This window comes from Homo sapiens, chromosome 1 (assembly GCF_000001405.40).
Source record: "Homo sapiens chromosome 1, GRCh38.p14 Primary Assembly".
Taxonomy (NCBI): Eukaryota; Metazoa; Chordata; class Mammalia; order Primates; family Hominidae; genus Homo; species Homo sapiens.
The window spans coordinates 174,706,460-174,723,192 of record NC_000001.11 but is presented as its reverse complement, the minus strand read 5'-3'; the positions used below and the strand labels follow the sequence as shown (position 1 = coordinate 174,723,192).

At 41.6% G+C, this 16,733-nt stretch overlaps 1 protein-coding gene across 16 annotated transcripts in view, besides 1 other annotated feature; it reads right to left on the bottom strand.

Moving 5' to 3' along the window:
• Positions 1-16,733, bottom strand: part of RABGAP1L (RAB GTPase activating protein 1 like) — an 835,789-nt gene that overhangs the window by 272,116 nt on the left and 546,940 nt on the right. The window lies entirely within an intron of this gene.
• Positions 10,688-10,797: an enhancer, noted in NCBI's record as "active region_2123". NCBI's record gives its function as "activates an Ori minimal core promoter by ATAC-STARR-seq in GM12878 lymphoblastoid cells {active_cell/tissue: GM12878}" and the evidence as "EXISTENCE:reporter gene assay evidence [ECO:0000049][PMID:35858748]".

Sequence of the window (16,733 nt, the reverse complement as noted above, 5' to 3'; positions counted from 1 at the left end):
TGAGGCAGGAGAATCACTGGAACCCAGGAGGTGGAGATTGCAGTGGGCTGAGATTGCACCATTGCACTCCAGCCTGGGCAACAAGAGCGAAAACTCCTTCTCAAAAACAAACAAAAAAACCCAGCAAATTCCTATGGGTCAACATAATGCAAGAGTCTGTCTATCTTATTTGTATTGAATCACTCCAGCATGCCTCCTTTTGAAAATGTTCATCAGTTCTGTGTCTCCATCATGTACTGTGACTTGCCTAATATAGAGCACAACATATTGGCTGAGGCCAAAATAGAGCCAAAATATTGGCTGAGGGTGCAGCCTCGGGCAAATACCTGAAGTTCTATATTTTGGAAGAAAGAAGATTGGTAATGGAACCCATCTCCTTCAGGCTAAGGCATAGAAGATTCTTGCTAGCCATTTATCACTACTGGTAGAAGCTTGAGATAAAGGCCAGGTGCAGTGGCTCACACCTGTAATCCCAGTACTTTGGGAGGCTGAGGCAGGTAGATCACCTGAGGTCAGGAGCTCACGACCAGCCTGGACAACATGATGAAACCCCATCTCTACTAAAAATATAAAAAATTAGCCAGACGTGGTGGTGGGCGCCTGTAATCCCAGCCACTTGGGAGGCTGAGGCAGGGGAATCGCTTGAACCCAGGAGACAGAGGTTGCAGTGAGCCGAGATTGCACCACTGCACTCCAGCCTGGGCAACAAGAGTGAAACTCCGTCTCAAAAAAAAAAAGAAGCTTGCGATAAAAAAGGAAAAATGGGAAAAGCTAGTCATATTCATGTTCCGAGACCCTAATTAAACAAAGTACTTTTCGTACATCTTACATATAACAAAACAATATAATATACCATTCGTGTAAGTGTAGAATCTTTTAAGCTTCATCATCTATTTTTATCGTTAAAGAAACAGGATTAGCCAAAGTAAGTGTGACTGGCATCAACCATAAAAAAATTGAGTATCGGCCAGGCGCGGTGGCTCACACCTATAATCACAGCACTTTGTGGGTGGGGCGGGTGGATCATAAGGTCAGGAGATGGGGACCATCCTGGCCAACATGGTGAAACCCCATCTCTACTAAAAATACAAAAATTAGCTGGGCATGGTGGCGCATGCCTGTAATCCCAACTACTAGGGAGGCTGTGGCAGAAGAATCGCTTGAACCAGGGATTCAGAGGGTGCAGTGGGCTGAGATGGCGCCATTGCACTCCAGCCTGGACACAGAGCAAGACTCCGTCTCAACAACAACAAAAAAATTGAGTATCAAATCCTACTTTCTCTTTAAATAAAAAAGGTATTTGTGAATTTGATGTTTTAAAACCTTTGATAATTTAGAAAAAGGAGTAATTTTAGATTTTCAAAAGAGACTTACAGTTTAATATTTATAGGATACTACTGATGATCATATACCATTTATCAACTCAGTGCAAGTAAAACTCTGAATAAGCCCCCAAATACTTTGTACTGGGAAATTGCAGATCTACCTTCATTCCCCTATTTGGTAACTGCTAACTCTAAAAAGTTCCATCTTGTTCTTCCCCTAAATCTTCATGAAATAAAATACCTGCCTATTTTTAATTATAATTTATCCTGCTGCAACACTGCTGTGAAACCAATCTGATCCAGATACTATTGCTGAGGAAGTTTAGTTATTAAAATATGCATCTGTTCTCTGTCAACTTGGCTTTGTTGAAAGGCCCACAGTAACACATGACCAAGAAAGCCTTGAGAAAAATCAACACACCAAGGTTTTCATCCCCAAAATAAACACTAAAAACAAAGCAACCACAGAAATATTGCTGGATATTTCCCTTAAGTTTTGTGCTTCTCTGAATTCATTACGTTGAATTATTATCTTTCTTCCCAGAATTTGCCAAAGTAACAAATTCAAAGAAATGAAAAAGTACACCATTTCATGCTTCTATGTATGGCCGTCTTCTTGTTCCTCCAGAGAAAGCATCACACCTTTATCATCTGATAACTCTCATATGGGACAGAAAGTAATACCACATAACTCTTTGCTGCTGATGATTAAAATGATCAAAAAGCACATGTCCTTTAGCCTAAACACATTTCAATGTACAAGTATACACAACTGTTAAATCAGTATTTCCTAGTCATTAGGAAATAAACCTGAGTATATTTGTTAAACTTGTAGATTTCTAGAGCCATATTCTCAAAGAAGCTTGAGTCTAAGATGACCTCTAGAATTTTTATCTTTAATGAGCAATCTCTCCTGCTTCAAGTTATTTTGTTACATTGAGATGTAATTCAAACACCATAAAATTTGTTCTTCAAAAATGTACAGTTCAGTTGGTTTTTAGTATATTTGCAAGGCTGTACAACCATCATCACTACCTAATTCCTGAACATTGCATCATCTCCAAAAGAAAACTTTTTCCTGTAAGCACTCACTCGTCAATCCCTCCTCTCTTCAACTCTAGGAAACTAATCTACTTTCTATCTCTATGGATTTGCCATAGAGGTAGGGGTACAACTTCATTCTTTTATATGGAGAGAGGGGTGTGAAGTAGGGGTGCAACTTCATTCTTTTATAAGTCAATATCCAGTTACCAGCCGGGACCGGTGGCTCAAGCCTGTAATCCTAGTACTCTGGGAGGCTGAGGTGGGCGGATTACTTGAGCTCAGGAGTTTGAGACCAGCCTGGGCAACATGGCAAAACCCTGTCTCTACAAAAAATTAAAAAATTAGCCAGGCCCATAGTGGCATGCACCTGTAGTCCCAGCCACTCAGGAAGCTGAGGTGGGAGGAGTGCTTGAGCTCTGGAGGCAGAGGTAGGCAGAGGTTGCAGTGAGCTGAGATCGTGCCACTGCACTCCAGCCTGGGCAACAGAGCCAGACCCTGTCTCAAAAAAAAAAAAACCAACTATCTGTCTGTCTATCTATCTATCTATCTATCTATCTATCTATCTATCTATCTACATCTAGCTAGCTAGCTATCTCCAGTTACCTCAGCAACATTTGTTGAAAAGGCCATTCATTCCTTACTAAATTGTCTTGGCATCCTTGTTGAAAATCAAATGCCCACAAATACGTGAGTGTATTTCCATTCTGTTAATCTATAGATTTACACCTATGCCATTACCATGCAGTTTTGATTACTATAGCTTTGTAGTAAGTTTTGAAATAGTCCCTCTCCCACCCCTCCCAAATTATTCTAGTGAAAGTTGCTATGAACTACACTTTGAGAAATACTGTCTTATGCTTCTAGGCATAATTATACTTACTCTTTTATCAATATATATTATAGCCATCATAAATACAAGTCTTGCAATATGGGCTTCTAAAGTACATATATATTAATTTATTATGATTTGGAGTCACTCCTACCACCTCCAAAAATCCCAACCAAATAATATTTCATCTTGCTATCTAAATCAGAGGTCACAAACTGCAGCCTTTGGCTGAATTTGGACTGATGATACACTCTATTTGGCCTCAGCTTTTTATAAAAATTGAATTTGAGTTCCTTTACGTGAATATGTACTCTGCAGTTCATCCCAGTCCTCAATACTCCATCTTGTCTTATACCTAGCACATTTCACTCATTTTTGTGCATTTGAGTTGGCCATATCTGACCTAAATAAATCTTTAAGTAGCCCCATTAAGGAAAAGTAGAAAAAGTGTAACCAACAACCAATTTTTTCAAGGGTTTTATCCAAATGCTAGATTAAATTAAAGGATCTTTTCTTGAACTTAGAGAGATTTAATAGATGCTTGTTGACTGATTGGTTCTACACTTGAAAGGTTGTGAAACTCTACTGGGTTCAAAGTACTATTTGATATCGAGTCTATTATAGATTTGAAGGTTGAAGATAGGAAGACAGTTAATATATTACGTAACATGTAATTCAGGTTTATCAGTACTTTTCAAATAAAATCCAATTTTATCTTTAATTATTAAAGATATCTTTTAAAGTGGCTAATAATTCTTGGAGAAAAATAGATAAAAAATCTTAATTCTGGCACAATTTTAAAAATTCATTTTTAATACTGGTATAAAGAAGGCCTCAGAAAACCTACCATACTATAGGCCGGGTGCGGTGGCTCACGCCTGTAATCCCAGCACTTTGGGAAGCTGAGGCGGGAGGATAACCTGAGGTTAGAAGTTTGAGACCAGCCTGACCAACATGGAGAAACCCCATCTCTACTAAAAATACAGAAATATCCAGGCATAGTAGCACATGCCTGTAATCCCAGCTACTCGGGAGGCTGAGGAAGGAGAATAGCTTGAAGCTGGGAAGCAGAGGTTGTGGTGAGCCGAGATGGCACCATTGCACTCCAGCCTGGGCAACAAGAGCGAAACTCTGTCTCAAAAAAAAAAAAAAAAAAAGGAAAAGAAAAGAAAACCTACCACACTATAAAGGAGTTCCCCCATCTGAGGGAACACTGGTACTTCAGTCCACCATTCTGGCTGTGGCTGTAGTTTCATCCTGAATTTCTCTCCTCTCCTTCCCATGGAGGGTTTCATGTAAACTGCTTTGGGTCTCCACCATCCTTACACTCAGCCTGATACAGCTGGAGGAACGTTTTATTGCCATTAAAATAGTACACGATGACAAATGATGCCAAGGGCCTCAAAAATAAATGGGCTTATTAAACATTAAGAATTGGGTAATATCCAACTGAGACATCAGACGAGCCAGGACAGGATTTTTCTTCCTCTATCATCCTTTCTTGGGGCACAGCACATCCCTTCTTTTCCTTTTGAGCTTGTGCACTTATTGACCCAGGATAATAGAAGGGGGTCTTTTATAATACAACTCTAAGCAGAGAAGTGAGGTAGAGATTCTTAGGAACAAAGTTATGCCAACAGATGAGCATTCTGGCAGAGGAGAATGTCTGTTTGGCTTATATACGGTAGATCCTGAGGGACTAGTGCTAAGTGGTTTTCTTTCCCTTTCTTCTTCAACCTGATTGGATCTCAAAAATTTTCCCAGGTGAAATTAGGTGAGATTGAATAACCAAAACTCAAACCAAAAACCTAAAAGGAAGGAAGACCACAGGGCAAAAGAATAAAATAAGAAGACAACAGAAGAATGAAAGAAGAAGACAACAGAGTCTGGAGGAATAAGTAAGGAGAAAGAAAGCTTCACAGAGGTTTCCTGAGGTACTGAGAAAGGTGGCTAAGAAGACTCAGGTGTTACTGTTGAGGAGCAACTGGGACAGGAAGCAGCAGACAGAGGAAGCCCACCCCATCTGCCTCCCTACCCAAGATTAGTTCCGTGTGAACTATAACAGTTTGAAGTTTGGAGAAAAGAATTACTTGATATGTTCTTCAAGATTCACTGGTATAATCAACTAACGTACTTCCTTTTTCTTTTAGTATTGGACTGTTACCATGCTCTTCTGATAGTAAGAAAAAGACTCTCATAGAACCAGCAGTACTTGTAAAGTTATCATGCGGTTCACCACCAGACAAACAGAAAGCAACTATACTGATTTTGGAAAAAAATGTAAGGTCTAAGACAAGAATTAGATAATACATCTAGATTGGTGAATAGGCAAAGTAATACCTGGCATCTAAAGGTGACCTGTTTTTTGTAAAAATTTTGCATGTTTTAAGGTTGACTCATATTAGCTTCAACCTTAGTCACTTATTTTAAGCTGTTTTTCAGGCTGAAAGCTTATACATTATTAGATAAAATGTGCTTTGATTCTATTTAACGGGAACAAAAAAGGGCACTTAAACGAGAGGTTTAATCAGTACTATTGGATATTTATCTTTCATTCTTTTACAGTCATACATTTGTTTGTTTTTGAGACAGGAATCTCGTTCTGTTGCCCAGGCTGGAGTACAGTGGCGCTATCATAGCTCACTGTAGCCTCAAACTCCTGGGCTCAAGCGATCCTCTGCCTCAGCCTCCTGAGTAACTGGGAGTACAGTTGTGCCCAGCATGCCTACCTAAATTTTTTAACTTTTGATAGACACAGGGTCTCGCCACGTTGATCAGGCTGGTCTCAGCCTCCTGATTTCAAATGATCATCCCACCTCAGCCTCCCAAAATGCTGGAATTACAGGCCTGAGCCACTGCACCTGGCCTAAAATTCATATGTTAATATTAACGAGGGATCTTTTATGTATATTTGCAAGGTAACAGAGATGATAAACACTAAGAATGCACTAATTCTTCTCTGTATTAAGGATTCTTATGGATAAAATGGATTCTTGCCTGCCAATGAGCATAACCAAGAATCTTTAGAGTCTACAAAGTAGGGTGTACCTACTTCATTGGGATGTTAGGAGAACAACTACACGAAGTAAGTAAGTAAACAAACTACCAGGTGCTTTAAGTGCCTTAAGAAATAATTACCAGACATGATGTGGTCCAAGCTGAAATCCAATAGGTCAATGAGCCAGAGGACCAGCAGGAAATTGTTTTATTCAATTATGAAAAATTTTCTGGCATATTCCTAAGAAGAGCAAAATGGGCTATACTACTAGGATGAGGACAAGAAGCAAAATGTCAAGTGGACTTCTAAAAAATAACAGCTTTCATACCAAAGGTATCGAAAGAAAAAAATAAAAAATAAGAGCCTCTGAAAGTCCCGGTGAGACAACCCAAAAAGTAGGAGACCAGAAGGTCCTATTATGCCTCTTTTTTAACAAATGCAAACAACAGTTCTAGTACTGGTAGCTAAATATTGTATGTTTAGATATGGTTAAGAAGCCCTGGATAAATAAGAAAAAGGTTAAACTACTCTTTGGTTAAAAATGCCAAACAGCTGGGTACAGTGGCGCATACCTGCAGTCCCAGCTACTTGGGAGACTGAGGTAGGAGGCTCACCTGAGCCCAGGATTTCAAGGCTGTAGTGCGCCACTATGATGATAATGTCTGTGAATAGCCACTGCACTCTACTCTCGGCAACACAACAAGACCCTGTCTCTAAAAATACTACTACTACTAAATGCCAAACAATGGATGCAGATAATTAAGTTCAGTTGCCCTCCCTATCGGTGGATTCTGCATATGTGGATTCAAACAACAGATGGAAAACTGCAGATGGAAAAATCTTTAAAATAAAAATAATAACAATAAAAATAACGTAAACTTAAAAACAAATAACAACTATTCACATACCATTTACAATGTATTATGTATTATAAGTTATCTAGAGATGATGTAAAGCATATGGAAGGATGTGTTAGGTTATATGCAAATATTATGCCATTTTATACAGGGAACTTGAGCATCCTCAGATTTTGGTATCTGTGGGGGATGAGGGGAACTTTAAACCCTGTGGATACCAATGGAAAACTGTGCCTGAAAAGTGCAGCTGGAAAAGAATACCAGGAGCATCAGGTGAAGGAATTTAACATGGAGAAGTCTTGCCAGACCATAGGAGGACCTGGGATATGAGATCAACAGAGTCAAGTCTTGGACTGAAAGACCCAAAATGATATTGGGAATTGATTACTATTTCTGTCTTAAAATGAGAGTAGGTAATGAGGATTTCTTAAAAGAGACAAAGACCATCTGTTATTTACTAAGGGACATGAAGGACAAGGATAATCACAGCGTCTGCCCATGTGAATTGAAAAAAGTTGAAAAACCTATTTCTAAATTGGGCAACTGTATGAGGGGTGTGAAGGGCTGCAGTCTGTTTGGAGAAGGTAAGAATAGTGTGACAAGGTATGTAAATCTTTTAGTACAGTGTGTGGCCCAGAAATACTCTCCAGTAAAGCCTGCCAGTATTCTGTCCTCAAATATTTGAGACTTAAACAGTAAGTCTGAAAGTTTATCAGCTAAAATTGGATATTTATGAAACAAGGTGGTAAAGGGAAATAACTACTCTTCAATGAAAGGTCTCATTTTTAATCCACTTCCACTGATACTGCATGAGTTCCTTCTCTTTTGTACAATATAGATAATTTATAAATTGAAAGAATGTTGTTACTAATAATTACAATGGAGGTCTTTCAACACTTATTACTTAGAAGATGCTTTCCCAATACAGTTTCTAGACAATGGGAAGCATTCAAATATTTCATATACTTTTGCCAATAATCATTAAAATTATTTATATGGGTCAAAATTGCACACTGCTTTTACTTATAACCTCACCTGCAAATGTATACTATGAAAATGATTTGGATCCAGCTACCACTTCAACCCTGAGGACCAAATTATAATTTTAAAGATTACGCCCTATATTAAAACTATGCTATGCTCCACTCTAATTAAATTCCTATGCCAAGCTAATATATAGCTTGTCTTGAGATGCATCAGAATTTTACTTAATATTACATTTATCAAATGTCTACTTTCAATGCAGTCAACATTAAGAATTTTAGTCTTAAATTACACACACACTAGAAATACTTAGAGATCTTTTAGGCCCTGTAAAAAAAACAAAGCTACAAAGAGGTAGGTCAGGAAAGAGGGGAGAAAATCTGATTCATAGAGATTGATAGAGAATAATACAGACGAGTGTCTAGGTTAACTTTGGTGCCTGTCCTTCCTGAAGTCTACTTGCTCAACTTCTCCTGGATTTCCTCTATCTTTACAATAAACCCCCACTGTACTGGAGCTACTATGTCTAGGTTTCTGTTTCTTAAAATATCTAAACTAAAACAACTTATTTTTTCCTCTTAAAACTCAAGAGCAAAGTTATTTTTCAGCCTGTAGAATTTAAATGAAGATGATAAAAATAATTATGTCCGTTACTTCTTCATTCCTATTTTCCTTCAACAGATACTTTGAGTATGTCTACCATATGTAAAGTTAGATACTAGGTATTCAGCTGCACACAAAAAAGACATAGCTCTTCCTTTCAGAAATTTATAATCTGGTGGGGGAAATAGGCATTTTAAAAGCAATACAAAGTAAGTCAATAAATAAAACACCAACCACAGGGTGCTAAGAGAGAAAGGAAAAGGATGTATCCATTTAAGAATGGGTGATCAGGGAAAATTTCTTAGAGGAAGTAGCTAGCAAGGTAGAGTGAGTAGTTCATTCCAAGCACAAAGAGGAAAAAATGTTTTTCTTTTTTTTTTTAAATTAACATCCCTGCTGTCCTAAAAAATATACAAATGTTTTCAATGTTCCAGAAACTAAAAGAAGACCAGTGTTCCACTACAAAGAGCAGGAAAAAGGCTGACCTTTGGATACCACTGGGGAGGAAGGAAGGGAATAACTGCAGGCCAAATGAAACAATGTGAGTTTTATTTAGTGGGAAACCACAGAAGGGTTTTCAGTAGAGGAGTGTAATCGGTTATGTGTTTTACAAAATCCTCTCTGGATGCTATGGAGAATAATGGGAAAAAAATGACAGGAAGACAAGTGGGAAGAACAGATAGGAAGTTACTGAATAGGAGATAATGCTGACTTGGAGAAAGAATAAAGGTTCAAGACCTATTTTGGAGGTAGACTTGATAAACTAGTGAGTGTGTGTTAGTCTGGTTCATGCTTTGCTATAAAGGAACACCTGAAGCTGGGTAATTTATAAACAAAAGAGGTTTTATTTTGGCTTACAGTTCTTCAGGCTGTACACAAAGCATAGTGCCAGCATCTGCTGCTGGTGAGGGCCTCAGGAAGCTTACTATCACAGTGGAAGGACAAGGGCGAGCCAGCACATCATACAGTGAGAGAGTAAACGAGAGCAGGGTTTGAGGGAAAGGTGCCACAGTCTTCTAAACAACCATATCTCCCATGAACTCAGAATAAGAACTCACTCATTGCCAAGGGGATGGTGCTAAACCATTCATGAAAGATCTGCCCCCATCATCCAATACCTCCCACAAGGCCTCACCTCCAGCAATGGAGATTACACTTCAACATGAGATCTGGAAGGGACAAATATCAAAACCATATCAGACTGCAATAATATTTTTCAAATATTCTCAATTATAAATTGTCCAGAGATACATACATATGTAGTAAAAAAAACAGACATGCATGGGAATGATTAACACTAAATTCTTCATAATGGTTCTCCTGAGGAAGACCAAAGAAGATGTAGTCAGGAAGAGGTATATATAAAGCTTCTAATCTCATTGACATTGTTTTACTTCTAGAAGTGAGATACATAGCACTTCAATGTATGTCTTAATGATATAGTATGGGGGCAAGGAAGTGCTGGGAGCAGAAGGGTGGGGCTCCTGGTGAGGGCTCCACCTCTGGGCCTGTGCCATTGGACCTAAATCAGGAGAGGCATTTCTGTTTTCGTCCCCAAATATTGCATTTCCCAAGACCACCCTGGTCCGCCATGCCCCCATCTTGTGTCTATAAAATCCCCAAGACCCTGGGGGCACAGACACAAGCGGCTGGACGTTGGGAGGAACACACACCAGCAGAAGAGCACACCAGCAAGCACTGGCAGACACCAGCAGGCCACTGACTGATGGAATGACGCAAAGTTTGGCTGGGGAGGTTGGAGGAGTAAGTAAGTAAGTCAATAAATAAACACCAACCACGGGGTGCTAAGAGAGAAAGGAAAAGGATATATCCATTTAAGAACGGGTGATCAGGGAAAACTTCTTAGAGAAAGTAGCTACTGCTGGGCAGCCTGACTGCAGGGGAAAACCACTGTGTCCGGAATTGGTGGGTTCTTGGTCTCGCTGACTTCAAGAATGAAGCCGCAGACTCTCACAGTGAGTGTTACAGTTCTTAAAGATGGTGTGTCCACAGTTTGCTCCTTCAGATGTTCAGATGTGTCTGGAGTTTCTTCCTTATGGTGGGTTCGTGGTCTCGCTGGCTTCAGAAGTGAAGCTGCAGACCTTCGCGGTGAGTGTTACAGTTCTTAAAGGTGGCGCGTCTGGAGTTGTTCGTCCCTCCCAGTGGGTTCGTGGTCTCACTAGCTTCAGGAGTGAAGCTGCAGACCTTCGCAGTGAGTCTTACAGCTCATAAAGGCAGTGCGGACCCAAAGACTGAGCAGCAACAAAATTTACTGCAAAGAGCAAAAGAACAAAGCTTCCACAGTCCGGAAGGTGACTGCTCGGGCAGCCTGCTTTTATTCTCTTATCTGGCCCCACCCACATCCTGCTGATTGGTCTGTTTTACAGAGAGCTGATTGGTCCGTTTTACAGACAGCTGATTGGTCCATTTTACAGAGAGCCGATTGGTCCGTTTTGACAGGGTGCTGACTGGCGTGTTTACAAACCTTGAGCTAGACACAAAGTGCTGACTGGTGCATATACAATCCTTTAGCTAGACACAAAAGTTCTCCAAGTCCCCACTAGATTATCTAGACACAGAGCACTGATTGGTGTGTTTACAAACCTTGAGCTAGACACAGTGCTGACTGGTGCATTTACAATCCTCTAGCTAAACATAAAAGTTCTCCAAGTTCCCACCCGACTCAGAAGCTCAGCTGGCTTCGCCTAGTGGATCCTGTGCCAGGGCCATGGGTGGAGGTACCCACCAGTCCCATGCCATGTGCCCACACTCCTCAGCCCTTGGGCGGTTGGTGTGACCAGGCCCCCGGAGTAGGGGGCAGTGCCAGTCAGGGAGGCTCGGGCGTGCGGGAGCCCGTGGAGGGCAGGAGTGCCAGGGGGCACTCGGGCACGGCAGGCTGCAGGTCCCGAACCCTGCCCTATGGGGAGGCAGCTAAGGCCTGGCGAGAATTCGAGCGTGGTGCGGGTGGGCCAGCAGTGCTGGGGGACTGGTGCACCCTCCACAGCTGCTGGCCCGGGTGCGAAGCACCTCACTGCCCAGGGCCAGCAGCGCAGGCCAGCCGCTCCGAGTGCGGGGTCCGCCAAGCCCGCGCCCACCTGGAACTCGTTCTGGCCCGCAAGCACTGTGCGCAGCCTCGGTTCCCACCCACGCCTCTCCCTCTGAGAGGTGACAGCGTGCCGGCAGCCCTCACTCACTCTCAGTGCCTCCTCTGCCTGGGCTCCCACTTTGGCGGCACTTGAGGAGCCCTTCAGCCCACCGCTGCACTGTGGGAGCCCCTTCCTGGGCTGGCCAAGGCTGGAGCTGGCTCCCTCAGCTTGCAGGGAGGTGTGGAGGGAGAGGCGCAGGTGGGAACCGGGGCTGTACATGGCACTTGCGGGCCAGCGTGAGTTCCGGGTGGGCGTGGGCTCGGCAGGCCCCGCACTCACAGCGGCCAGCTGGCCCTGCCGGCCCCAGACAGTGAGGGGCTTAGCACTGCTAAGCTGTGTTTGGGCCAGCAGCTGCTGTGCTCGACTTCTCGCCGGGCTTTAGCTGCCTCCCTGTGGGGCAGGGCTTGGGACCTGCAGCCCGCCATGCCTGAGCCTCCCCGCCACCGTGGGCTCCTGCGCAGCCTGAGCCTCCCCGATGAGCACCGCCCCCTGCTCCACAGCACACCAATGGGTCTTGACTCTTTATCCAATTTGCCAGTCTGTCTTTTAATTGGGGTATTTAGCCTATTTACATTTAAGGTTAATTTTGTTATGTGTGAATTTGATACTGTCATATGATGCTAGCTGGTTATTTTGTCCATTAGTTGATGCAGTATCTTCATAGTGTTGATGGTCTTTACAATTTGTTTTGTTTTTGCAGTGGCTGGTACTGGTCTTTCCATATTTAGTGCTTCCTTCAAGAGCTCTTGTAAGGCAGGCCTGGTGGTGACAAAATCCCTCAGCATTTGCTTGTCTGTAAAGGATTTTATTTCTCCTTCACTTATGAAGCTTAGTTTGGCTGGATATGAAATTCTGGTTGAAAATTATTTTCTTTAAGAATGTTAAAAATTGGCCCCCACTCTCTTCTAGCTTGCAGGGTTTCTGCAGAGAGATCCACTGTTAGTCTGATGGGCTTCCCTTTGTGAGTAACCCGACCTTTCTCTCTGGCTTCCCTTAACATTTTTTCCTTCATTTCAACATTGGTGAATCTGATGATTATCTGTCTTGTGGTTGTTCTTTGTGGGGTTCCACAAAGGAATAGTATCTCTGTGGTGTTCTCTGTATTTCCTGAATTTGAATATTGGCCTGTCTTGCTAGGTTGGAGAAGTTCTCCTGGATAATATCCTGAAGTGTGTTTTCCAACTTGGTTCCATTCTCCCCATCACTTTCAGGTACACCAGTCAAACGTAGGTTTGGTCTTTTCCCAGTCCCATATTTCTTGGAGGCTTTGTTTCTTCCTTTTCATTCTTTGTTCTCTAATCTTGTCTTCCTGTTTTATTTCATTAAGTTGATCTTCAATCGCTGATATCCTTTCTTCCACTTGATCAATTTGGCTATTGATACTTGTGTATGCTTCACGAAGTTCTCGTGCTGTGTTTTTCAGCTCCATCAGGTCATTTATGTTCTTCTCTAAACTAGTTATTCTAGTTAGCAGTTTCTGTAACCTTTTATCAAGGTTTTTGGCTCCCTTGCACTGTGTCTTTAGCTCAGAGGAGTTTGTTATTACCAATCTTCTGAAGCCTACTTATGTCAATTCGACAAACTCATTCTCCATCCAGTTCTATTCTCTTGCTGGCAAGGAGCTGTGATCCTTTGGAGAAGAGGCATTCTGGTTTTTGGAATTTTCAGCCTTTTTGCGCTGGCTTTTCCTCATCTTCATGGATTTATCTATCTTTGGTCTTTGATGTTGGTGACCTTCAGATGGGATTTTTGCATGGGTGTCCTTTTTGTTGATGTTGATACTATTGCTTTCTGTTTGCTAGTTTTCCTTCTAATAGTCAGGGCCCTTTTTGCAGGTCTGCTGGAGTTTGCTGGAGGTCCACTGCAGAACCTGTTTGCCTGGGTATATCACCAGCAGAGGCTTCAAAACAGCAAAGATCGCTGTCTGTTCCTTCCTCTGGAAGCTTCATCAGAGAGGGGCACCTGCCAGATGCCAGCCAGAGCTCTTCTGTATGAGTTATCTGTCAACCCCTCTTCAGAGGTGTCTCCCAGTCAGGTGGCATAGGTATCAGGGATCCACTTGAGGAGGCTGTCTGTCCCTTAGCAGAGCTCGAGCACTGTACTGGGAGATCCACTGTTCTCTTCAGAGCTGGCAGGCTGGAATGTTTAAGTCTGCTGAAGCTGCGCCCACAGCCACCCCTTCCCCCAGGTGCTCTGTCCCAGGGAGATGGGAGTTTTATCTATAAGCCTCTGACTGGGGCTGCTGCCTTTCTTTCAGAGATGCCCTGCCCAGAGAGCATGAATCTAGAGAGGTGCTATGGCTACAGCAGCTTTGCTGCACTGCGGTGGGTTCCACAACTAGTTCGAATTTCCTGGAGGCTTTGTTTACACTGTGAGGGGAAAACTGCGTACTCAAGCCTCAGTAATGGCAGCACCTCTCCCCACACCAAGCTCAAGCATCCCAGCTTGACTTCAGAATGCTGTGCTGGCAGTGAGAATTTCAAGCCAGTGAATCTTAGCTTGTTGGATGCCATGGGGGTAGGTTCTGCTGAGACAGACCACTCAACTCCCTGGCTTCAGCCCCCTTTCCAGGGGAGTGAACAGTTCTGTCTCACTGGCATTCCAGGCACCACTGGGGTAAAAACAAAACAAAACAAAACAAAACAAACAAACAAAAACTCCTGCAGCTAGCTTGGTGTCTGCCCAAACGACTGCCCAGTTTTATGCTTGAAACTCAGGGCCCTGGTGGTGCAGGCACCCGAGGGAATCTCCTGGTCTGTAGGTTGCGAAGACCATGGGAAAAGTGTAGTATCTGGGCTGGATAGCACTGTCCCTCATGGCAGAGTACTTTACAGCTTCCCTCAGCTAGGGGAGGGAGTTCCTTGACCCCTTGTGCTTCCCAGGTGAGGTGATGCCCCACCCTGCTTCTGTTAATCCTTCATGGGCTGCACCCACTGTCTAACCAGTCCCAGTGAGATGAACCGGGTACCTCAGTTGAAAATGCAGAAATCACCCACCCTCTGCATTGGTCTCATTGGGAGCTGCAGACCAGAGCTCTTCCTATTTGGCCATCTTGCCAGCTCCCCTATGTCAGAGTCTTAATCTTGCTTGTATTAAGCTCATTCTGATGAGTTTTTTGTGGGGGAGAATGGGGATAAGGAGGGAGAATATTGTGTAATAAATAATGAATCTACTCTTCAGATAACAACTTCTGAAAACTGCTTTGAGAGAATTATACCTGGTGATATTTAATCAAATAATGTAGTACTGTCATTTTTTCAACATCCTGAGAAGAGAAGAGAAGCAGAAGATACATTCTAATTTGAAGGGTCAACGATTTCCTTAAATTTCATGAAAATACCAAGTTACTATATAAAGCTGAACATATTTGGTACTCTAAAAATTGAACTATCTGGGAAGAGTCAACTTCAAACACCGGCTGTCAGTTATTCTGTGAAGACTAAAAGAAATACCAGTATTTTCCTTATGTCTTCTGAAAGAATGTGGAGGAGAAGCAAAAAACACTTTTAGAGCAGTATTTGAATCACTACTGAAAAAGGAAATAGAATTAAGCTTCCATTAAGGTCACTCACTTAAAATTTTGCTTTTACCAAAGAAGCATCTCAACCACTGGGTGATGGAGGGGAAGGTGATTAGAAACCTAGATAATTGAAGAAATTAAGAAGCAACTAAATGGGCTATACAGATGGATGGAGCAGACTGCAGGGCAATGTTATTATTAATTGAATACTGTATAGTAGGCAGAGTACTTAAGTACTTGATATCATAATCTCATCTAATTCTTACACTAAACCTGAGAGACAGGTATTGTTAGTCTCATTACACAAACAAAGAAAATGAGATTTACATAGGTCAAGTAACTTGAACAAGGCTGTCTAGGAAAGGTTGACTAAAAAGTCCAATATCCTAACTCAAATGTCATACCGTCTCTACATTGCTCTTTGTAAGACTGAAAATACTTTGCTGGATTTTCCCCATCATAGTAACTTCTCTCATAAAAGCACTAAAGGGACTCTGCTTTTAGGTCCAGTTCTTAGCTTTCAATCTGCCTGTATGCAACTTCAGAGATCAGGTCAATCATTCCAATCACCAAATGAGTTTCATTTTGTTGCGTATTCATGGACTCTTATCTGACCCATTATCTGCGACCTAAAAACAAAACAAAACAAAACAAAACAAAACAAAACAGAACAAAACCTTGCCCTTGATCACAAGAAAGATCTTTATTGAATAAAAACAACTCAAAGTTAATGCTCATGCTACCTTGGAAGGCTGTTTGGCAGTATCCATTAAAGCTGAATGTATGTGCATCCTAACACAACAATTCTACTCCTTGATGTGTACTCACAGAAGTGCATAGGTACGTTAACTAAAAGACAAGTTCAAGAAAGTTCAAAAGATTCACACGGAGCACTATTCATAATGGCCTTCTGGAAACTAGAAACAACTCAAATAACCGTCAACAATAGAATGGGAGAATGGAAAACTAAACTATGCCTAAATGCAATGATACGGATGAATCTCACAAACATAATGATGACTAAAAAAAGTTAGACAGAAAAGAGTTCGTATTGTATGATTCCACATACATAAAGTTCCAAAACAAGCAAAGCTAAACTATGGCATTAAAAGTCAGGAAAGTGATTACTTTTCAGAGTGTAGTTACTGGAAAAGGGCAGTGAAGGGGAAGAGGGTTTCTGAAATGCAGATAATGTTCCTTTTTGTTCTTTTTTAAATCTGGGTGCTGGTTACTTCGTTATGTCCATTTTTTGAAAAATCATTAAGTTCTACATTAATATTTGCAAATTTTCTTTTATCTGTTATTATACTTCAATAAAAAGTTATTTTAAAGACTGCAATGTTTTATTATCGATAGGTTAATAGCATAATATTTACACTATAAATGTTAATACATTTAGACTTGCTAAACAGATAAAGGCAGATAAT